Here is a 24,511-nt window from a genome sequence, read left to right as displayed (position 1 = left end):
TCTTTGAGAAACATAACGTATACTCGTCTTCACATAGTACACCAAAATAAATTCCATATACATTAAAGATATAAATTTTTTAAGCCATTAAAAGTACTAGAAGAAAATTTTGAAGAATATCCTTGTGAACTTGAGTTAGGAAAAGGCTTCTTAAATAAAAAACCAGAAGCAAAAACCATAAAGAAAAACAACCAACACACTTAATTATGTCAAAATGACAAAGTATTATACCAAAAAATGCTGTAAATAAAATTAAAAGATAAACCAAAAGCTAGGTGAAAAATACAGTGAACATAAGTATAATGATCTGTAAACAGAGTATGTAAAGAATTCCTACACGGGAAATGCCAATTTTGAAACAGCGATAATTAGAGGGAAGGAAACTTGTGTTATAAAGGGGAAAAATGTTTGTGGAGGCTTTAGCTCAACTTAGAAAGCTTTACACTCAAACTACCATAAAGCACCTGAATTTTTTTTTCAAAAAAGAAAACATGTTCATACTCTACAAGTATAACTAAAACAAATTTTAAAACCACAGGCAGTTGTCCCTTGGTATCTGCTGGGGACTGGCTCCAGTAGAACGTATCCAGATATCCAAGACTGCCCCAGACAACAAAAATCCCAGGATGCTCAAGTCCCTGATTCAAAATGACACAGTAATTGCATAAAACCTATGGATATCCTCCAGCATACTTTAAATCATCTCTAAATTACTTATAATACTTAATAAAATGTAGATGCTATGTAAATCGTTGTTATACTTATTGTGTTTTTTATTTGTATTATTTTTCCATGTTGTATTATTTTTTCCCAAGTATTTTCTTTTTTTTTTTTTTTCCACTTTTTTTTTCAAGGTGACTTTAAGATTCTTTCCCAAATATTTTTGGTCCACAGGTGGTTTGAGCTGTGGATGCAGAACCCACTAAACTATAGCTATCAACTTTATAGACTTCTTTCAAAGACAATATAGATCTAAACTAGATCTCTCTGATTTCCTAGCATCATTTCAAAGCATTGGCTTAGGTCAAGTAACAACAGGCTTCAGCATATTAAACAATATTTTCCCAAAATCCATTGTTATGTAAATTGATTCTTATAAGTGTTTCTTCATTGAAAACAGTACCAAGTAAATCATATTGTCAAAAATGAGATTCTAAAGACAGTATCTATTCTGGTCAAACAGGTTAAAAGTCCTCAAAAATGTGAACACACAGGTGGTTTGAAATAACAGGCAGGTGGTTTCAAACCTGTGGGGGGAGCGGGGTGGAGAGGCGGGAGATGTTTTGTGTTTTTGTTTGTTGAGACAAGGTCTCCTCTGTCACCCAGGCTGGAGTGCAGTGGTACAATCACAGCTCACCGTGGCCTCAACCTCCCAGGCTCAAGCACTTCTCCCACCTCAGCCACCCGAGTAGCTGAGACTACAGGCGAGCATCAGCACACCCAGCTAATTTTTGTATTTTTGGTAGAGGTGGGGTTTCACCATGTTGCCCAGTCTGGTCTCGAACTCCTGGGCCCAACGGATTCGCCTGCCTCAGCCTCCCAAAGTACTGGGATTACAGGCGTGAGCCACCGTGCCCAGCTGATGGTACTTTCTTACAGCAGCCCTATCAAATTTACGTATCTCATCTCCTACATAAGAGAGAAACAAAGAAATCAAACAGGAACTATCTCAACTTTCTCTCTCCACATGTTCATTGACAGCAACAACCATCCTTAACTTCCTCTATTCTGATGGAAGTGGGCTACAGCTAATCCTTCCACAGGGTACTTTAGTCCCCATTCCCTCTGGCTTCTCCAGAGAAACCTTAGTTAATGAACACTTTTCCTCTCTAATGCCTTTTTAACTTCTGTCTATAATACATCTTGTTTCTTAAGCACTCCCAATTTTTTGACACTCTCCTCTCTTGGTTTCTTTATATCATATGCTCTTTTCTTCTAACCCTCCTCCTTCTTTGTTCGTTCCTCCCTTAAATGTTTCTGATCTTCATCCCTATGTTATTCTCACACTACAATATCATCCTTAAGAAATCCTTTCTCCCTGCCTCCACCAGCTTAAAATAACATATGTACAACAAAGACTCCAAATTCACTACTTCTCCAGTACTTTTTTACTTCTCCTTTGAGAATCAAAACTATGTATCCCACTTCTGGACATCTTCACTTATACTCCTCACATGCACCTCAAATACACCATGCCCCCAAACTGAACTCCGTATCAAGGTCTCCCCATTCCAAAACCAAACCTGCTGCTGCAGGGGAAAAAAAAAAAATCAAAAAAAGAACATGGTAGTGGACAACATCTATTCACATGAATAACATCAGCTGCTCAAGCCAGAGCCTGAGAGTCCTCCCAAAATCTTCATACTCCATATACACACATATTATCAAAACAATACAATTCCTGTTGCTTTGATTTCTAGGTACCTCTTAAATTGATCCTCTTCCTCCATTCCCACAATTATTACCTTGGTTTATGCCATCCTATCCTACCTGAATTAAAACAACTTTCTAACCTGACTGCCTGCCTCTAGCCTCAGAGTCCTGTATTAGTCCATTCTCAAGCTCTATGTAGAACTACCCATAAGACTGGGTAATTTATAAAAGAAAGAGGTTTAATTGACTCACAGTTCTGCAGGGCTGGGGAGGCCTCAAGAAGCTTACAATCATGGCAGAAGGGGAAGCAAACACATCCTTCTTCACATGGCGGCAGGAAGAAGTGCCAAGCAAAGGGGGAAGAGCCCCTTACAAAACCATCAGATCTAGGCTGGGCGCGGTGGCTAACGCCTGTAATCCCAACACTTTGGGAGGCCAAGGTCAGTGGATCACTTGAGGTCAGGAGTTCAAGACCAGCCTGGCCAACATGGTGAAACCCTATCTCTACTAAAAATACAAATATTACCCAGACGTGCTCACTTGAACCCAGGAGGCAAAGGTTTCAGTGACCCAAGATTATGCCACTGCACTCAAGCCTGGGTGACAGAGCAAGACTCTGTCTCAAAAAAGAAAAAATAAAATCGATCTCGTGAGCACTCACTATCAGAACAGCATGGGGTAACCGACCCCACGATTCAGCTACCACCAGGTCCCTCCACAACATGTAGGGATTATGGGAACTACAATTCAAGATGAGATTGCTGGGGACACAGCCAAACGGTAACAGTCCCCAGTCAGTGTTTTTCAAACTTAGAATTATGACCCAATAGTAGGTTGTGAAATCAGCTTGATAAGCTGCAACCAAGCTTGTTTTCTTGTTTGTTTTAAATGAAATAAAATCACTACATACCCTGAGCCAGAATCACCCAACACACTCTTCATGAAATCTGAGATGTTTGTTTTTCAAATCCAGTAAGTTCTGAAGTAATTGTAATGCAACAAGAGATAACAGTATTGTTTTCTGCAATGTTTCAGGTGTGCATATGCATGCACATGTGCATACTGGATCACAATATAAAATGTACTTCTTGGCCAGGCACAATAGCCTGTGCCTGTAATCCCAGCACTTTGGGAGACCAAGGAAGTAGGATTGCTTGAGTCCAGGAATTCAAGACCAGCCTGGACAACATAGCAAGATCCTATCTATAGGAGAATAGAGATAGGATCTCTAAAATAAACAGATAAATAGAACAGAAAATAAAATGTATAGCTTATTTTCACAGTGTATCACACTAAAGTAAACATAAGTAATGTTGAGAACTGTGAAGGAACTAGGATTTTATTTAACCCTACTTACAGGTTAATACATTAGCCTATGACCATTTCATGGATACTGACAGAATACATGAGTCTCCTGGGTCAAACACAAAGAACTTTTATTACTCACAGCGCAGCAAGCATGAACATGTTTGCACTGTCTCCCTGTTATCCCCAAGTCCCATAAGGTGACATGGAGGGGCTCAGATGGATGCTACACAGGCAGTGGGTTTGCATCACAGCTAAGGAACATTGGGCTTAGGGAATCCACCACTTTTTTTTTTTTTTTTTGAGACGGAGTCTTGTTCTGTCGCCCAGGCTGGAGTGCAGTGGTGCGATCTGGGCTCACTGCAAGCTCCGCCTCCCGGGTTCATGCCATTCTTCTGCCTCAGCCTCCCGAGTAGCTGGGACTACAGGTGCGTGCCACCACGCCCGGCTAATTTTTTGTATTTTTAGTAGATACGGGGTTTCACCATGTTAGCCAGGATGGTCTCGATCTCCTGACCGCCCACCTCGGCCTCCCAAAGTGCTGGGATTACAGGCATGAGCCACCGCGCCCGGCCGGAATCCACCACTTTTATAGTAAGTAGTAAGTAGGCCTGCTCTTTGTCCCAATGGAAGACATTACCTCCTCCCGCAAAGTGGCCCGCTGCAAACACAATCCTGAAAAATGGCCTGGCCTAGGAACAGTCAAGGCCTTGCTTGCATTCCTGGCACACTCAACAGGGTGTATATGAAATAAGAGTCTCGGCTGGATGCAGTGGCTCATGCCTGTAACCCCAGCACTTTGGGAGGCTGAGACAGGCAGATCACTTGAGGTCAGGAGTTTGAGACCAGTTTGGCCAACATGGTGAAACCCCGTCTCTACTAAAAATACAAAAATTAGCCAGGCATGGTGGCCATGTGCCTGTAATCCCAGCTACTCAGGAGGCTGAGGCAGAAGAATCGCTTGAACCCGGGAGGTGGAGGCTGCAGTGAGCCCAGACTGCGCCACTGCACTCCTGCCTGGGTGAAAGAGCAGGACTCCATCTCAAACAAAAGAAATAAGAAGCTCATGGAAGATTCATTCTCCTGACAATTATTTGTGGTAGTTTTAAAGTATGTTCATAAATTATTTAATGCTCCTCCCTTCAAGAGGGAGACTAAATTTCCTCTCCTTGAGTGTGGACTGGACTTAATGACTTGCTTCCAATGATGTACTTTCATGACTAACTCTTAAAAGACACTGGGGCTTCTGTCTTCGTCACTCTCTCAAATCACTCTCTCTCAGGAATCCAGCTGCCATGTCGTGAGGATACTCAAACTTCAAACTACCCTGTGAAGAGAGTCACATATTCAGAAACTGAGGTCTCCTGCCAACAGCCACGTGAGATAGCTTCAAAGATCCTCCAATCCCAGTCAAGAATTGAAATGAGTGTAAACTCAGCAGTCAACATCTTGACTGCAACCTCACTAGATACCCTGAGTCAGAATCACCCAATACATACTCTTCATAAAATCTGAGATGTTTGTTTCTTTTTGTTTTGTTTTGTTGAGAAGGAGTCTCACTCTGTTGCCCAAGCTGGAGTGCAGTAGCACAATCTTGGCTCACTGCAACCTCCGTCTCCCAGGTTCAAGCGATTCTCCTGCCTCAGCCTCCCAAGTAGCTGGGATTACAGGCATGTGCCACCAGGCCCTGCTAATTTCTGTATTTTTAGTAGAGATGGGGTTTCGCCATATTGGCCAGGCTGGTCTCAAACTCCTGATATCAGGCGATCCATCTGCCTTGGTCTCTCAAAGTGCTGGGGTTACAAGCATGAGCCACTGTGTCCAGCCAGATGTTCTTTAAATCCAGTAAGTTTTGAAGTAATTTGTAAAGCAGCAAGAGATAATACAGTCTTGTTTTCTGCGATGTTTAAAGTGCGCATATTGGATCACAATATGAAATGTCCTTCTTGGCCTGACACAGTGGCCCATGCCTGTAATCCTAGCACTTTGGGAGACAAGGCAGGAGAATTGCTTGAGTCTAGGAGTTCAAGACCAGCCTGGACAACACGGCAAGATCCTATCTCTGCAAAAAAAATTTAAAAATAAAAAAAAAAATAGCCCAGCATAGTGGCTCATGCCTGCAGTCCCAGCTACTCAGGAAGCTGAGGCAGGAAGATTGCTTGAACCCAAGAGTTCATGGCTACAGTGAGCCATGATAGTGCCACTGCACTACAGCGAGCCACGATAGTTCCACTGCACTACAGCGTGGATGACATGGCAAGACCCTGTCTCAAAAAAGCAAAAATAAATGTGATTCTTTTTATAGGTTCTAAACAATTCTCAACACCAGTGCCATAATGATCTTCTAATATGATTCTCCAGATGGGTAAGGGATTCCAGGGGTGCTCAAGACCCCCTTGCAGGAGGTCCATGAGGGCAAAACTATTTCCATAAAAGGATGATGTCATTGGCCTTTTTCACCGTGATTCTCTCACAAGTGCATGATAGTGTTTTCCAGAGCTACATGACATGTGATAATATCCCACTGACAGCTAATGGAATGTGTGCTTGTGTATTCTCACATTTTAAAAATGTCTTGGCTGGGCACGGTGGCTCATACCTATAACCCCAGCACTTCGGGAACCCGAGGCAGGATGATCACTTGAGCTAAGGAGTTCAAGACTGGCCTGGGCAACATGGCAAAATCCCGTTTCTACTAAAAATACAAAAAATTAGCTGGGCCAGGTGGTATACACCTGTAATCCCAACTACTTGGGAGGCTGAGGTGGGAAGGTAACTTCAGCCCAAGAGGCGGAGGTTGCAGTGAGCAGAGATCATGCCACTGCACTCCAGCCTGGGAGACAGAGCCAGACGTTGTCTCAAAAAATATTTTTTTTTAATCTGAATTCCTTGGTAGTGCATATGAGATTTTTCATCATTTGGCCCTGCCTATCTCTCTGAAACTACTACTTATCCACTGTCCTTCTCCACGTGACAACCATAATCAGGTCTATGCAATTCCCTGAAATACCAAGCTGTCTCTGGTTTCCATGACCTTCTTCTGCCCCATCAACTGGCTAACTACTGCTCATTTTTCCAAACTAAGTTCAACAGTCACAATCCTACACAAACCTTCATGCCCCTCAGTCTAATTTAGGTGCTCCTCTGAGGTAACCAGGGGCTTTTAAAATAATGTAATTATTGTTTTAGTTAATCACCTCCTTAAAAGTAAAGGAATGTCTTACTCCATCTCCAAAACCTAGCACAGTGTCTAATACAAATCAAGCAGGCAGTAAGTGTTTGCCAACGCCACAATTAACCTAAATCCACGTAAAAACCATTAGATAGTTCATATACATTTAAAAAGCAGTACTAATCTTGAATGTAGTTTATGGAACCTGCAACTAAATGTAATCTAAAACAAATATAATGAAAGCAATTTTTAACATTTTCCTCAAGTTAAGAAAGTTTTCTCTATCTTTAAACAGTATCCAAATTTTATGAATTAGGCTGGGTGTGGTGGCTCACGCCTGTAACCCCAGCACTTTGGGAGGCCGAGGCAGGCGGATCACTTGAGGTCAGGAGTTCGAGACCAGCCTGGCCAACATGGCGAAACCCCGTCTCTACTAAAAATACAAAAATTAGCCAGGCATGGTGGCGCACACCTGTACTCCCAGCAGCTCCACAGGCTGAGGGAGGAGAATCAACTTGGAGAATCGCTTGAAGCCGGGAGGTGGAAGTTGCAGTGAGCTGAGACCATGCCACTGCACTCCAGCCTGGGCAACAGAGTGAGACTCTGAATAAAAATAAATAAATAAAACAAATTCCATGAACTGACAACCTCCTTCTGTACATGTCTTGCAATTTACTTTTGTCATCTATCCCCTGAAAATAATTAACTAAATGGGCAAGATTTCAATTTTTTAAAAAACTGTTCTTCCTGCATTAATAAGAATACAAACTTCTGTAGCTAAATCTTAATTCCAAGAAGATGGCATAAGCTCAAAAACAGACTAATGCCTCTCATCTAAGAAAGAAATTAAAAATTCACATACACACAGAGCAATCACACGCAGAAAATATGTCTGTGGGGACAAATGGGTTCTCAATACTAAAAAAATCTCTATTAAACTCTATGTCAGAGACCTACCAAGCTAAAGATGTACCAAGCACTTAAGATGAATTTTGTACCCTATATTTTGAGTTTTTTAAAAATACCAGATGGGCTGGGCATGGTGGCTCACGCCTGTAATCCTAGCACTTTGGGAGGCTGAGGCGGGCAGATCACCTGAGACCAGGAGCTCGAGGCCAGCCTGGCCAATATGGTGAAACTCCATCTCTACGAAAAATACAAAAATTAGCGGGGTGTGATAGCGCACGCCTCTAGTCCCAGCTACTTGGGAGGCTGAGGCATGAGAATCGCTTGAACCCGGGAGGTGGAGGTTGCAGTGAGCAGATACTGTGCCACTGTACTCCAAGCCTAGGTGACAGAGCAAGACACCGTCTCAAAAAAAAAAAAAAAAAAAATACCAGAACAACATTTAAATCTCTGCAAGCTTTCCAGGATTTACATTTAGAGAAATTTCCTAAAATCTAATTCTGAGAAGAATATTACCAGAAATCTGGCTTATCTTAAATTATGTGTTTATTAACAATACAGTTTCACTATCAATTCACTACTATTCACATCACAAAGCCTGTCAGAAAAAAACACAAAGAATATTCAGGACGAGCATGGTGGGTCATGCCTGTAATCCCAGCACTTTGGGAGGCTGAGGCGGGTGGATCACCTGAGGTCAGGAGTTTGAGATCAGCCTGACCAGCATGGTGAAACCCCGTCTCTACTAAAAATACAAAAATTAGCTGGGCGTGGTGGCACATACCTGTAACCCCAGCTACTCAGGAGGCTGAGGCAGGAGAATCACTTGAACCCAGGATGTGGAGGCTGCAGTGAGCCGAGATCATGCCACTGCACTCCAGCCTGGGTGACAGAGCAAGATTCCATCTCAAAAAAATAATAAATAAAAATATTCAAAAATTCCAGAATCATTTTTCCCTAAGAAAAGCACTGAAGCCGGGCACGGTGGCTCACGCCTATAATCCCAATAATTTGGGAGGCCAAGGCAGGCAGATCACTTGAGGTCAGGAGTTTGAGACCAGCCTGGCTAACATGGTGAAGCCCCATCTCTACTAATAATACAAAACTTAGCCAGGCATGGTGGTACACGCCTGTAAACCCAGCTACTTGGGAGGCTGAGGCAGGAGAATTGCCTGAACCCAGGAGGCGGAGGTTGCAGTGAGCCGAGATCGAGATCGCACCACTGCACTCCAGCCTGGGTGACAGAGTGAAACAGTGTATCCAAAAAAATCAAAAAAAAAAAAAAAAAGAAAAGAAAAGCACTGATCCCAATGGTTATATACATACTGTGAGAGAAAAACAGCCCCAGTCTCGCCTCACCCCACAGAAATCCATTATACTCAGAAGTCTAAAAATAAAAATACTTCTACCCACAATGATTATATGTTAGCCTTTAATTCTCACTCTTCCCACAAATAGCTACGAGCATAACATGCAACTGCAGACAGCAATCTCTCACTCTCCTCATAGATTAGAAAAATAATAATAGCTCTTTATGAACTGAGTCTCCAAAGGAACACCAAATATCATTAAGACAAATGAAAGCAAAAAAATTCTTTAATAGCAACACAGCAGTTTACTTCAAACTAACTATAATGGACTAGGCTAACACAGATGTGCTATATTTGTAAGTTGAACCAGAAAATGTAATATACCACCCATTAGCTATTTAAATAATTATATGTGAAATTCTGACATAAATCTCAAAATCACTAGTCCAACCTGATGTAATATACCACCCATTAGCTATTTAAATAATTATATGTGAAATTCTGACATAAATCTCAAAATTACTAGTCCAACCTGATGTAATATACCACCCATTAGCTATTTAAATAATTATATGTGAAATTCTGACATAAATCTCAAAATTACTAGTCCAACCTGATGTAATATACCACCCATTAGCTATTTAAATATTATATGTGAAATTCTGACATAAATCTCAAAATTACTAGTCCAACCTGATGTAACCTGATGTAATATACCACCCATTAGCTATTTAAATAATTATATGTGAAATTCTCACATAAATCTCAAAATTACTAGTACAACCTGATGTAATGGGGTTATGCTCATCAACGAGTCAAATATTTTTAATACTGTATTTCAACATGTTTAAAGATCCTGTTCATTTTCTTAAAGGGTTATAAATATTACTAGGGACGAGAAATATGCTGCTATCCTAGGCTCCCTGTGAAAAGATGAACAATAAACCAAAAATTTAAAATCCCACTGAGGTACAATTTGGCACAATCTATCAAAATTTAAAATGTGCACATTGTTGAACTAGAAGTTTCACTTTAAAAAATATTCTCCATAAAATATATTTTCACAGGTTCAAGGACATAATGTGCAATGATATTCAATTATTGCATTGTTTGTACCAGCAAGGAGACCGCTTAAATTTCCAAAGAGATTAGTTGAATAAATTTATGTATCTCTCAACTACAAAAGACAATGCTGCTGTTTAAAAAAAATTTCTTTCAGGCAATCCTAATTTAAAAAAAAGAAAAGAAAAACAATGGCCAGGCATGGTGGCTCATACTTGTAATCCCAGCACTTTAAAAGGCTGAGGTGGGCAGATCACTTGAGGTCAGGAGTTCAAGACCAGCCTGGACAACATGGTGAATTCCTGTCTCTACCAAAATACAAAACTTACCTGGGCAAGGTGGTGTGTGCCTGTAGTACCAGTTACTCAGGTGAGAGGATTGCCTGAACTCCGGAGGCAGAGGTTGCAGTGAGCCAAGATCATGCCACTGCACTCCAGCCTGGGCAACAGAGCAAGACTGTCTCAAAAAAAAAAAAAGAAAGAAAAAGAGGCAGGGCACAGTAGGTCATGCCTGTAATCCCAACACTTTGGGAGGCCAAGGAGGGCAGATCACTTGAGATCAGGAGTTCGGGACCAGCCTAGCCAACATGGTGAAACCCCATCTCTACTAAAAATACAAAAATTAGCCAGGCATGGTGGCGCACACCTGTGATCCCAGCTACTTGGGAGGCTGAGGCAGGAGAATCACTTCAACCTGGGAGACGGAGGTTGCAGTGAGCTGAGATTGCACCACTGCACTCCAGCCTGGGTGACAGTGAGATTTCATTTCAAAAAAAGGAAAAAGAAACAAAAACAAAAAAAAATTAAGTAAATATCTATATCTAAGATATAGATCTGACATGCAAAAACATATTGTGAAGTGGGAAAAAAACCAGGTTACAGAAGAATGCTTACGAGGCAATCTCATTTGTGTACAAAGGATATATACACGTATGTTTGTATATACACAGAAATGATTTGTACGGTAAAAGCCTATTTCTGAAAGACCAGATGGAATCACCTTTTTCCTTACTTACATACTTTTCTTCTCTGTTCCATTTTCTTTTTATAGTGAGTGTGTATTACTTTACTTTTTTTGGCCTGGTGTGGTGGCTCAGGCCTGTAATCCCAACACTTTGAGAGGCCAAGATGGGTGGATCTCCTGAGCTCAGGAGTTCGAGACCAGCCTGGGCAACATGGTGAAACCCCGTCTCTACCAAAAATACCAACATTAGCCAGGCATGATGGCACACGCCTATGATCTCAGCTACTCAGGAGGCTGAGTCATAAGAATTGCTTGAACTCCAGAGGCAGAGGCTACAGTGAGCCAAGAACACACCACTGCATCCCAGCATGGGAAACAGAGTGAAACCCTGTCTCAAAAACAAACAAAAAAAAAAACTTACATTTTTTTAAGTCTCATTATAAACTACAGGTTTAAATAAAGACCTCCACAACCATTCGGCACTAATTTACACAGCAATTAATGGGCTAGGCATAGACAGATTGCTAATATCTCTGTAAGTAGCAGGAAGTTTAAAAAAAAAAAAAATCACCAGGCACATGGCTTATGCCTATAATCCCAACACTTCGGGAAGCCAAGGCGAAAGGATCACTTCAGATCAGCCTGGGCAACACGGCAAGACCTCGTCTCCACAAAAAACTTTTTTTTTAATTAGCCAGGTGTGGTGGCACACATCTTTAGCCCTAGCTACTTGGGAGGCTGTAGCAGTAAGACAGCTTGAGCCCAGGAGTTCAAGGCTGCAGCGACCTATGATCACATCACTATACTCCAGCCTGGGTGACAAAGGAAGACAGACAGACCCAAAGACAGACAGACAGAAAGACAGAAAGAAAATAAATCTACAAGTTAATGAAGGCACAGATTTCTCTGCCTCTACACTCAGCATGTAACTAAAATGTATTAAGTCTGCTAACACTACGCATCTAGTTGTATAACCTTAATCTGATTCTCCAATACTGACTAGAGACTAAAACTACACGACAGTGTGGCTAAAGCAGCACTGTTTCAGAGCATACCTATCTGAAAGGCCACCTCTGCTTGGAGCAGCAATGACACATCAATTGTAAACGAGCAATCTTAACACTTGTCAGTTACTATTTCGCCTTTTTTTAATGGAAGGGTAACTCAGTTTACAATCAAGTTAACTGCAGTTTTTAATAATTCTTATCAATTAATCAAGTTAATTATAAGTTCTCTCAAAGTTCTCATCATGACAAATATTTTGTCAAGCTAGATACTTAGAAATAAACACAAGGTTGTTAATCATAGTTGTTCTCCAGTTGTAACAGCAATCTGCGCCACTTAGTTGAAACAAGTCAAGTTCTAGGTTGTGTAGCCTTCCCCAACGACTCTAGTGCTCACTGATAACCTGATTTCATAAAATCCTAAAATATTAAATTGTTTGGACATAAAATTATGTTACCTTGCATTTTATACATCTCATACTACATCGTGATCAGCTCAACACAAAGTTCAACAAATTCTACCAGTGATTAAGCTGAACAAAGTAAAACAGATGTACCTGTTCACAAACGTCTATTCACAAGACTGAATAACAAAAATGTCTAAAAATCCAAAAATTTATAACTAATATGATAGTAAAACCAGACCTGGACTGGGTCAGTAATCCCAAAGTGTTTAATGAAGAAATTAGGGACCATTCCCAAAACATACTTGAAAAGTTAGCTTATATATAATATATGCATGTCATCTCTCTAAAAATCTGAAAAAAATTCTGAATTCTGGTCCAAAAGATCTTGGACGCAGACCTGAATTAATGGTTAAGATTAAATATCAGCCGGGAGCAGTGGCTCACGCCTGTAATCCCAACACTTCAGGAGGCCAAGGCAGGCAGACCACGAGGTCAGGAGATCGAGACCATCCTTGCCAACATGGTGAAACCCCGTCTCTACTAAAAATACAATTAGCTGGGCCTGTAGTCCCAGCTACTTGGGAGGCTGAGGCAGAAGAATAGCTTGAACCCAGGAGGTGGAGGTTGCAGGGAGCCAAGATCACGCCACAACACTCCAGCCTGTTGACAGAGCAAGACTCTGTCTCAAAAAAAAAAAAAAAAAAAAGATTAAATATCCACATCACTGTTGGTAAATACAGACATTTATAATCAGGAAGAGCTGCACAGGAATTTTAAGTCTGTGACTGTTTATTTCTTAAGCTAGGTGGTAGATACACAGATATTAATTACATCATTCTCTGTATCTTTTTGCATGTCTGAAGCATATCATAAGTTTAAAAGGGTTTAAGTGAAAAATTATAGGAACCCAGTAAGTATTTGTTTCTTCCCAAAAATAATAAAAGTATCTGAGAAGCAGCAAGTTTGAAAATGGTTACAGTAAGGGTCTTAAAAACATATCTTTTGATCCAGTAATTCTATGAACAGGAAAAACCAATCTACTCAAATGATCCAAAATGTAGAGAAAAGTTTATAAAGATACACCAGCTTTATTAGTACTCACTTCATTGAGAAATGTTTAAGTGAAATCTTTATGACTTAACATGAAGCCTACAAAAACCATTTACAAACCAATGTCTGCCATTTAAAAAACGTTTATAACACAATAATGAAAAAGGATATGCTTTTTTTTTTTTCAGAGTCTCACTCTGTCACCCATGCTGGAGTGCAGTGGGGTGATCTCCGCTCATTGCAACCTCTGCCTCTTGGGTTCAAGCAATTCTCATGCCTCAGCCTCCCAAGCAGCTGGGACTACAGGCATTTGCAACCATATCCAGTTAATTTTTGCATTTTTAGGGGAGACAGGGTTTCACCATGTTAGCTAGGCTAACCAGCCAGGCTGGTCTTGAACTACTGACCTCAGGTGATCCGCCCAACTTGACCTTCCAAACTGCTAGGATTACAGGCATGAGCCACTGTGCCCAGCCTTCAAGAATATATTTTAATCTACAGTATACTCTCAATTTTGCAAATATAAGCACAGCCAAAAGATGAGCTGAAACCTAGTTTTTTCCTAATAGTTGTCAAAATTTTCCAAACAGGTAAACACTACTTATTTAAAAAGGAAAATGTTGGCCAAACAAGGTGGCTCACACCTGTAATCCTGGCACTTTGGGAGGCCAAGGTAGACAGATCGCTTGAGCCTAGGAGTTTGAGACCAATCTGGGCAATACGGAGAGACCCTGTCTCTACAAAAAAATTTTTTTAATTAGCCGGGCATGGTGGTGCATGCCTGTAGTCCCAGCTACTTGGGAGCTGAGGTAGGAGGATAGCTTGAGCCCAAAAGGTCAAGGCTGCTGTGAGAGTGAGCGGTGATGGCAACACTGCACTCCAGCCTGGGTGACGGAGTGAGACCTTGTCTCAAAAAACAAAAAAAGGAAAAATGTTAAGAAGACTTAAACAGAAACAAAAGGAGAGCCACTGTAATTCCAGGGTGAACACTTCATCCTTTTGTACCTAGTCTCAAAGTCATTTTCAACACAGCACTTGCAGTTGCTATCACCAAATGCAGTTGGCACATATAAAATTTTTCATTATTTCCAATAATACGGATGTAAAATGCCTAATATTATTTCAGACCTGAGTGGGTCTACTGAAACTACCACAAATAAGGCAGTAAGGTTTCCTAGTACACACTGTGTATATAACGCATGGGTACGCATTATAAACATGTTTCTGGTCTTCTCCAAGAAACGGGTGGAATGGCACACTGCCAGAAGATGAGACTTAAGAAAAAGACCTCAGAAAAGAATTTGCAGAGCATCAAAAATCATATAGCCAGCCGGGTTCGGTAATCCCAGCACTTTCGGAGGCCAAGAAGGACGGATCACCTGAGGTCAGGAGTTCAAGGCCAGCCTGGCCAACATGGTAAAAACCCATTTCTAATAATAATAAAAAAAAATTAGCCAGGTGTGCTGGTACACACCTGTAATGCCAGCTACTCAGGAGGCTGAGGCAGGAGAATCACTTGAACCTGGGAGGTGGAGGTTGCAGTGAGATGAGATCATGCCATTGCACTACAGCCTGGGCAACAAGAATGAAACTCTCTGTCAAAAAAAAAAAAAAAAATCATATTTCCTTTCTCTTTTTTTTTTTTTTGGAGACAGAGTCTTCCTCTGTCACCCAGGCTGGAATGCAGTGGCATGATCTCGGCTCACTGCAACCTCTCCTCCCGGGTTCAAGCGATTCTCCTGCCTCAGCTTCCCAAATAGCTGGGATTACAGGCACCCGCCACCACGCCCAGCTAATTTTTGTATTTTTAGTAGAGATGAGTTTTTACCATGTTGGCCAGGCTGGTCTCGAACTCCTGACCTCAAGTGATCTGCCCACCTCAGCCTCCCAAATTGCTGGGATTACAGGCATGAGCCATGGCACCCAGCCAATATTTCCTTTCTCTTCGACCTGGAAAAGTCCATTTTCCTCCCCTCGGTTACCACGCTTCTCTGAATAAACTCTACCAAGGCAGTTTTTTAAATAGTAATTCTTTATATGTGTACTCACTAAGGTAGAATTACAGACTCAAATTCTGCAGATTTAGCCTGGAGAAATCATAAATTTAGAAGTATCCAAAGAGATTCAAGCAGAATTCAGTGGTTCCTGAAATAACTGAAAAAAGGAGTTATACCATCATGCATTTTAAAGTTTCCAGAAGAGATTTGTATTGCAGAATCTACTTAAATGAAACTTTATAACAAAAATATCATATTACATTGCATATTTATAAAAATCAAACCTTTTACATCACCATATAAAGCATTTAACACAGTATCTAGTTTATAATGAACACTCATCAATATTAATATTTTAAGATAAACAGTTTTTCATATTTTAAAGTTTCTGAATTGGGATGCAGCTTATAATTAACATGTATAACTAAATTATGTTTCTTTTTTTCTAAAAAGAATGAATTATTAAGTTGATAGTACACCTCACCAAAAAGAAATGGCAACTTAAAAGTAAAGAAATACGTATTATATGCAGTGAACACTTGTCACAATATTTCATTTAATCCCAACAGCAAACCCCTTTCAAGGAGAAAGATTGTATTAGGCCCAGTAAGTTGCCCAAGATCACACAGCTCTATCAAACTCTAAAGTCAAAATCTTGGCTGGGCGCGGTGGCTCACGCCTGTAATCCCAGCACTTTGGGAGGCCGAGGTGGGCGGATCACGAGGTCAGGAGATCAAGACCATCCTGGCTAACACGGTGAAACCCTGTCTCTACTAAAAATACAAAAAATTAGCCGGGCGTGGTGGCGGGCACCTGTAGTCCCAGCTACTCGGGAGGCTGAGGCAGGAGAATGGCGTGAACCCGGGAGGCGGAGCTTGCAGTGAGCCGAGATAGTGCCGCTGCACTCCAGCCTGGGCGACAGAGAGAGACTCTGTCTCAAAAAAAAAAAAAAATCTTTACCACCACAAGATACTGCATATTCATCTACTATTATACTCTCACCAAGATGCTTTTATCGATTTTGTTTTAAATGGAGCACCAAGGTTAAAATTAGTTTGCTCAAAGTCACAAACTTCTTTTTTTAAATCCCCATGTTCCTCACAGCTCCTCCCTTCTAACTTCTGTCTTGCTACCTCTTTCCTAAACTCCAGACCTGAATTTCCAACCATCCAGTGAGCAGTTATTCCAGAGCTGTGTTGTCCAATATGGTAGCCACTAGCCATATGCAGCTGCTGAGTGCTGAGCACTTGAAAGGTGGCTAGTGAGACCGAGGAACTGAATTTTTATTCTTATTTCACGGGAATTGAAACTTTAAAAACCGATACTTAATTCCATTACTGGAAAAGTTTTAAGCATGTTTGGAATAACCTGGGCATATAAATCTACTTTTTCAACTGTAAATTTTATGATTTACAGATATAAATACAGATGAAATATTTCTGATAAAACTAAGCATTTGAAAATAACGAAAGAACAAAAAAATTAGTATTTCAATTAAGATATACTATGAAAGTATACAATTGATTTCAAAGAGCTAGTATTAAAAAATAATGTGGCCGGGCATGGTGGCTCACACCTGTAATCCCAGCACTTTGGGAGGCTGAAGCGGATGGATCACTTGAGCCCAGGAGTTCGAGACCAGCCTGGGCAACATAGCAAGAGCCTGTCTCAAAAAAATTAAAAAAAATTATGTAAATAGATCAATAATTTTTAAATGTTTTAATGTGTTGTAAATCATATTTTGGACATACTGTGTTAAATAAGTTATAAAATCCAATTGTTTCTTTTTACTCTTTAATGTGGCTACTAAAAATTTTTTAATTACATATGTGGCTCATATTTCTAATAAACAGCGCTTTCTGGCAGCTACTGTTGTCCCACCACAACCATCAATAGCTCGATGAATGACATCACCATCTCTCTAGCTCAGTGCCGTCCAAAAGAACCTTCTCTGATTACAGAAACGTCCTATACCTGATGACTGGGTGATGGTGGTTGACAGTAGTGAACGGTATCTAGCAGAATCCCTGGGTAACAATATCACACAACAGAATACTGTGGAACCAAAGTTCTTAGGAGACGAGAGAAAACCACCTGTTATTCTGACTCTCCTCTGGCGGGGAAAAGAAAGTAGAAACCAAAAACTGCAGACCACTGCTGTCCCACTGAACCTTCTGTAACAGAAATGTTCTATATCTGCACTGTCCAATACAGAGGCCACCAGTCCCATACTGCTGTTAAACACATGTAGCCAGATATTATTTTCTGCTTGAATCTCTGTGCATACTCTTGAATTTATAACTTCATAGTACTCTGGATGAAATTTACAGAATTTAAGAGTCTGTAATTCTATATTTGTGTGGCTAGTGCAACTGAATAACTGCATTTTAAATCTTATTTTATTTAAATTAGTTTAGACATACCTTAATGGCCATACATGGCTAGTGGCTACTGTACCCAATAGCACTGTTCCTAGCCTAGGGGTTCCATCTGAAAGTCTGGGAGTCACTTTAGTCTTCTTCCTCCCCATCAACTAACTGTCCTTTCCCCACAAAGTGTGTACACACACACACACACACACACACACACAGAGAGAGAGAGAGAGAGAGAGAGAATTACCCAGTGAGAGAGAGAGAAAGAGAGAGAGAGAGAGAGAGAGAGAGAGAGAGAATGAATTACCCAGTCCTGTTAAAGCTTTTAACTCTGTACGCGTCTCTATCCCCACTGTCACTACTTTAGTTTTTAGGCTTTAGTGGGAACAGGTCCACAGCCTCCTAGTTGGCTTCCTCACATAGCCTCCTCTTAACCATTTGTTGTAAAATACAAATATACTCCTGTTATTTCCTTTACTCAAAAGTCTCCAAAGTCTTGCCATTGCTCCAAGGTAAAAGTCAGATTTTAACAGGGTTTACAAAGCCCTTCATGATCCAAACCCAATTTCAAGCCTCTTTGGCCACTCCTTAAACCTTCTAGTTCTTGCACGTATCAATAACACTTATCACACTCTACTGTAATTGCCTGTTTACTGTCTCCCTCCCTGGTCACCAGCATCCTGAGGGCGGAGACAGTGCCTCAAACACTGTACTGCCAAGATGGAACACAATACAGAGTCATATATATACACACTATACTATATATACACTATATACTATACACCATATATATACTATATTATATATACTATATACACATATATATTGTATATTAGATTTTCCATATTTTTTGAATGAGGAACGAGAAAAAGAAAAAAGGAAATACATATGTACTCTTGAACAACTATAAAAATGAAAAATTTATAAAGCAGACATTTTTGCTATACTATTTACAAGAATTGTTTCCTAGGGCTTTCGGAGGCCAAGACAGAAGATCACTTGAGGCCAAAGAGTTCAAGACCAGCCTGGACTGCAAGACCCTGTCTCTAATAAAAAAAGAAAAGGCCAGATACAGTGATACATGCCTGCAATACCAACACTTTGGGAGGCCAAGGTGAGGGGATCACTTGAGCCCAGGGTTTTGAGACCAACTTGGGCAACACGGCAAAACCCCATCTCTTAAAAACAAAACAAAAAAAATTACAAAAATGAGCTGGGCATGGTGGCACGCCCCTGTAGTCCCAGCTATGCAGGAGGCAAGGTGGGTAGATCACTTAGGAGTGGAAGGTCAAGACTACAGTGAGCTGAAATTGCGCCTAGGTGACAGAGTAACACTCTGTCTCAAAAACAAAAAAAAATTTGCCAGGCATGCTGGCGCATGCCTACAGTCCCAGCTACTTGGAAGGTTGAAGCAGAAGGATTGATTAAGCCTAAGAATTCGAGGCTGCAATGAGCTCCAGCCTGAGCGAGAAAAATCTGTCTCAAAAAATAGTAATAATACTGGCCAGGTGCAGTGGTTCATGCCTGTAATCCCAGCACTTTGGGAGGCCGAGGCGGGTGGATCACCTGAGGTCAGGAGTTCAAGACCAGCCTGGCCAAGATGGTGAAACCCCGTCTCTACTAAAAATACAAAAATGAGCCAGGTGTGGTGGCAGGCGCCTGTATTCCCAGCTACTTGGGAGGCTGAGGCAGAGAATTGCTTGAACCCGGGAAGCAGAGGTTGCAGTGAGCCAAGATCATGCCACTGCACTCCAGCCTGGGCGATAGAGCGAGACTCTGTCTCAAAAAAAAAAAAAAGTAATAAGAATTTTAATATAAACTGTTAAGAATCTCAAAAAAAAAGTAATAATAATAAGAATTTTAATATAAACTGTTAAGAATCAAAACCTAATTCTGAACTTTGGAAGGAAATCCTGATTGATGATTTAAAATATACATGTATATACTTGCTGTACAGAAGAAATATAATATCATTATACTTTACCTGCATTTGTCAAGTTCAAACTTAACAAATAATTTATGCCCATTTTCAATTAATTTATTTTAAAAATAACAGGAAACCAGATAAGAACTGCTGCTCTACAAAAATTATCAGGCCCAAAGCATAAGAATAAACAATCACATTATTCAGAATGGATTCAGAAACTTGGCAATACTATAAAATTGACTACAGTAACCACCAGAAAAATCACATGAAATAGCCAATAATTATCTACCTTCAGTAACTTTTTCTGTTTAATAACTTTATATCTAAATGCAAGGGAGAATAACGTCAAGCAAAGGTTCAGCCTAAATTTCATATAAAAGTTTAGAAAAGGGGCCAGGTATGGTGTCTCATGCCTGTAATCCCAACACTCGGAGGCCAAGGTGGGTAGATGACTTAAGCTCAGGAATTTGAGACCAGCCTGGGCAACATGGCAAAACCCCATCTCTACAAAAAATTAGCTGGGTGTGGTGGTGCACTCCTGCAGTCCCAGCTACTCGAAGGCTGATGCAAGAGGATCGCTTGAGCCTGGGAGGTCGAGGCTGTAGTAAGCCATGATAGCACTGCCGCACTCCAGCCTGGGTGACAGAGTGAAACCCCAGGTGAAAATAAATAAAGATTTCTTTAAAAATGTTTAAAGTTTAGAAAAGGGATGGGAACTAATTTGAAGTACTCAAAATTACTTGCCTTTAATGAAAGTAAAGTGAATACTACCATGAAGGTAGAAAAGTCACCTACGTGGCATCTGAAGATGTAAAACATGGCTTCTTCTTACTTCAGAAGAAACCCCTATGAGTCTCTGGGACCATTAATAACTTCTTAATGATGAATCAGAAGTTAAATACGGTCTTTCTTCCTTGAAAAGTTCAGCAACCTGAATTCTATACCTGAATTCTATATGAACAATGAGAAAAAAAAAATTTATACACACACACACACACACACACACACACACACACACACACACAGAAAAAGGCAGGCAGCCAGAGAAAAGAAAGTCATCAACAGCAATTTTTTTTCAAGTAAGTAAAATCTTTCAAAGGAAAAAAATGCTTAGAAATGTGTTAACCAGCTGAGCATGGTGGCTCACACCTGTAATCCCAGCACTTTGGGGGGCCAAGGCGGTTGGATCACAAGGTCAGGAGTTTGAGACCAGCCTGGCCAACACGGTGAAACCCCATCTCTGCTAAAAATACAAAAATCAGCTGGGTGTGGTGGTGGGCACCTGTAATCCCAGCTACTTGGGAGGCTGAGGCAGGAGAATTGTCTGAACCCAGGAGGCGGAGGTTGCAGTGAGCCGAGATCACGTCACTGCACTCCAGCCTGGGCGAGAGGGCAAGACTCCGTCTCAAAAAAAAAAAAAAAAAAAAAAAGAGAAAGAAAAAAAGAAAGAAATTTATTAACCAGCAGAAATGAATTTTTAAATCCATGTAACTGGCCATAATAATGGGTTGAAAGGGGGGGAAGCATCCAATAGATACGAAACACACTGGACACATTTTAACATTTACTAATGAATAAAAATCTAGGTATAGGAGGAAACTTTCTTAATCTAATAAAGGACATGTGCAAAAGCAACTATAACAAACATCTGTAGGGAAACAGTTCCACCATGGTGTTCTGGTGACCTGCAGCTTATCTGAGTCTTGGAGGAATGCCCTGTGATCCTCCCATAACAGGAGATGGTGGAAGGCCTATATGGAGCTCTCCCAGGTCACCTCTTCCCTATCTTCCTTAGAAGCTGCCATGAGACAGTTTCTCATGGCATCCTGGGTTCTGACAAGGCATTGAACCTTCAGCCCTGCCTAACTTAGAACAGCGCTGTAGAATACAAAACCACTTAGCAGCAGCCTAGAATAGGCTCCTCATCAACAGAGTATCCCCCAGCTCACACTGCAGGCATCAGCCCCTTTTGTTGTGGTGTTATCCTTTTTGGTATGTGGGACAAAGATCACAGGGAGCAGGAACCTTTGGCTTATTCTTCTTTCTGCCGACTATGTAACAGATAAACTGTCTGAGTCTAAAGAGGCTCTCTGTGTCTTTGCCAGTCAAATCAGACAGGCAAGGTCTTAGCCTTGCCTTGTCTTGTGTAAGTGTGCTTGACAACATCATGCCTAACAATGAAAAGTTGAAAGATTTCCCTTTGAGATGGGAAAAGACAATGACGTCTCCTATCTCTATTCAACAACATGCCAGAAATCCCAGCCAGTGAAGAAAAGAAAAAGGTGTAAGAATTGCGAAGAAAAACAGAAAACAGTAATTATTCACAAATGATATGGTTATGTAAGTTGGAAAGCCAAAAGAATCTACAGATAAAATTATTATAAGGCTTGATTAGCAAAATACAGAGTCAGCACTCAAAATTCAGTTTTATTTCAATATACCAACAAGTAATGGAAAATAACATTGATCTTAGAATTCTATTTATAATACCATCAGATACTAGGACTAAATTTAACAAAAGATGTGTAATACTGCACAGAAAACTATAAAACATTACTGAGATATATGAAATACAACATAAATAACAGGGATATCATATTGAATTAGTCAAAGATTCCTCATTACAAAAAAGTAATTCTACCCAAATTAATCTACAAATCCAATTAAAGTCCAATTAGGGTCCTAACACATTTCTTTTCTCTTTTTTTTTTTGAGTCTTTTTTTTTTTTTTTTTTGCATTTTTCATAGAGATAGGGTTTCACTATGTTGCCCAGGCTGGTCTCGAACTCCTGGACTCAAGCAATCCACCCTCCTCAGCATCCCAAAGTGTTGGGATTACAGGCATGAGCCACGGTGCCTGGCCTCCTTAAGAAGTCTTAAATGGCAAGCCACAGAGTAAGGTGGAAATATTTGCAACACAAATAACCAAAGAAGGGGTCATATCCAAAATATATAAGGAACTCCTATAATAAGAAAAAAAAGATAAAATTGGGCAAGACATGTGAATAAGCATTTCACAAAAGGTTTCCTAAGTAACCAACATAAAATTATTCAACCTCATTAGTAATAAGTGAAATGCAGATTAAAACCAAGAGATACTACTACAAATCCACCAGAACGGCTAAAGTTAATAATAGTGACAATACTAAGTATTGGCAAAGATATGGAACAAAATGAACTCTCAAACACTCTTTGGGGCATGTAATTTGTAGAACCACAAAGAAGGAATACTGTTTGGCAATTATCTAAAATTCTACATATGCATATCCTATGACCCAGGACTTTCACTCCTGGCCAAATACACAAAAGAATTACATACACATATGCACTAAAAGACTTGCACAAGGCAAGGTGCAGTGGCTCACACCTGTAGTCCCAGCACTTTGGGAGACCAAGGCAGGCAGATTACTTGAGCTCAGGAGTTCAAGACCAGCCTGAGCAGCATAGTAAAACTCCATCTCTACAAAAAAGTACCAAAAAAAAAAAAAAAATTAGCCAAGCATGGTGGTATGCACCTGTAGTCCCAGTTACTTGGGAGGCCGAGGTGGGAGGATCACTTGAGCCCAGAAGGTCAAGGCTGCAGTGAGCCATGATCACAACACTTCACTCCAGTCTGGGCGACAGAGTGAAACTGTCTCAAAAAAAAAAAAAAAAAAAAAAAAAAAAAAAAAGCCGGGCATGGTGGCTCACACCTGTGATCCCAGCACTTTGAGAGGCTGAGGCAGGTGGATCATTTGAAGCCAGGAGTTCCAGACCAGCCTGGTCAACATGGCAAACACCCATCTCTACTTAAAATACAAAAAAACAGCTGGGTGTGATGGTGGGCACCTGTAATCCCAGCTACTCGGGAGGCTGGGGCAGGAGAATCACTTGAACCCAGGAGACGGTGGTTGCAGTAAGCAGAGATTGCGCCACTGCACTCCAGCCTGGGCAACAGAGCGAGACTCCGTCTCAGGAAAAAAAAAAAAAAAAAAAAAAGACTTTACAAGAATAGTCATAGTGGCATAATCCATAATAGCCCAAAACTAGAAACAACCTAAATATCCATCAATAATACAATAAACTGTAGTATATTTATACAATGGAATACTATTTAGCAATGAAAATGAACGAACAGCTACATACAAATCTAAATCTTACAAACAAAATGTTGAGTCAAAGCCAGACATGAATACATACAATATGATTCCATGCATATAAAGATGCAAAACAATCAAAACTAAGCCAAAACTAAAAAGGTCTACACACACAAAAAAAGAAGGTGATTCTCCTACAATCAGGACAGAGATTACCTTTATGAGAGAAGGACTGGGTTGTGATTGGGAAGCTTCAAGGAAAGCTTGTGGAATGTCAGTAAGGTCCTAGTGCTTGACCTACATCATGGTTATACAAGTGTCTGATTCATAAATTGTAAAGCTTTACTTTTGTTTTACATACTTTTCTACATATGTGTTACATTCAAGACGGGCTTCAAGGCCGGACACAGTGGCTCATGCCTGTAATCCCAGCATTTTGGGAGGCCAAGACAGGAGGATCATTTGAAGCTATGAATTCGATGCCAGCCTAGACAAAAAACCAAAACTCAATATCCACAAAAATAAGTTTTAAAATTAGCCAGGCAAGGTGGCAAGCACCGGCAGTGTGGCTCACGCCTGTAATCCCA

At 40.6% G+C, this 24,511-nt stretch overlaps 1 protein-coding gene across 52 annotated transcripts in view, besides 2 other annotated features; it reads right to left on the bottom strand.

Moving 5' to 3' along the window:
* ERC1 (ELKS/RAB6-interacting/CAST family member 1) overlaps positions 1–24,511 on the bottom strand; it is a 505,975-nt gene that overhangs the window by 470,254 nt on the left and 11,210 nt on the right. The window lies entirely within an intron of this gene.
* Positions 18,629–19,129: an enhancer, noted in NCBI's record as "H3K4me1 hESC enhancer chr12:1115717-1116217 (GRCh37/hg19 assembly coordinates)". NCBI's record gives its function as "activates a minimal SCP1, AML or CMV promoter by ChIP-STARR-seq in primed H9 embryonic stem cells {active_cell/tissue: H9 hESC(primed)}" and the evidence as "EXISTENCE:reporter gene assay evidence [ECO:0000049][PMID:30033119]".
* Positions 19,130–19,630: an enhancer, noted in NCBI's record as "H3K4me1 hESC enhancer chr12:1115216-1115716 (GRCh37/hg19 assembly coordinates)". NCBI's record gives its function as "activates a minimal SCP1, AML or CMV promoter by ChIP-STARR-seq in primed H9 embryonic stem cells {active_cell/tissue: H9 hESC(primed)}" and the evidence as "EXISTENCE:reporter gene assay evidence [ECO:0000049][PMID:30033119]".

This window comes from Homo sapiens, chromosome 12, assembly GCF_000001405.40.
Source record: "Homo sapiens chromosome 12, GRCh38.p14 Primary Assembly".
NCBI lineage: Eukaryota > Metazoa > Chordata > Mammalia > Primates > Hominidae > Homo > Homo sapiens.
Note: the sequence above shows the minus strand (reverse complement) of the source record. Positions and strands in the feature narration are given on the sequence as shown.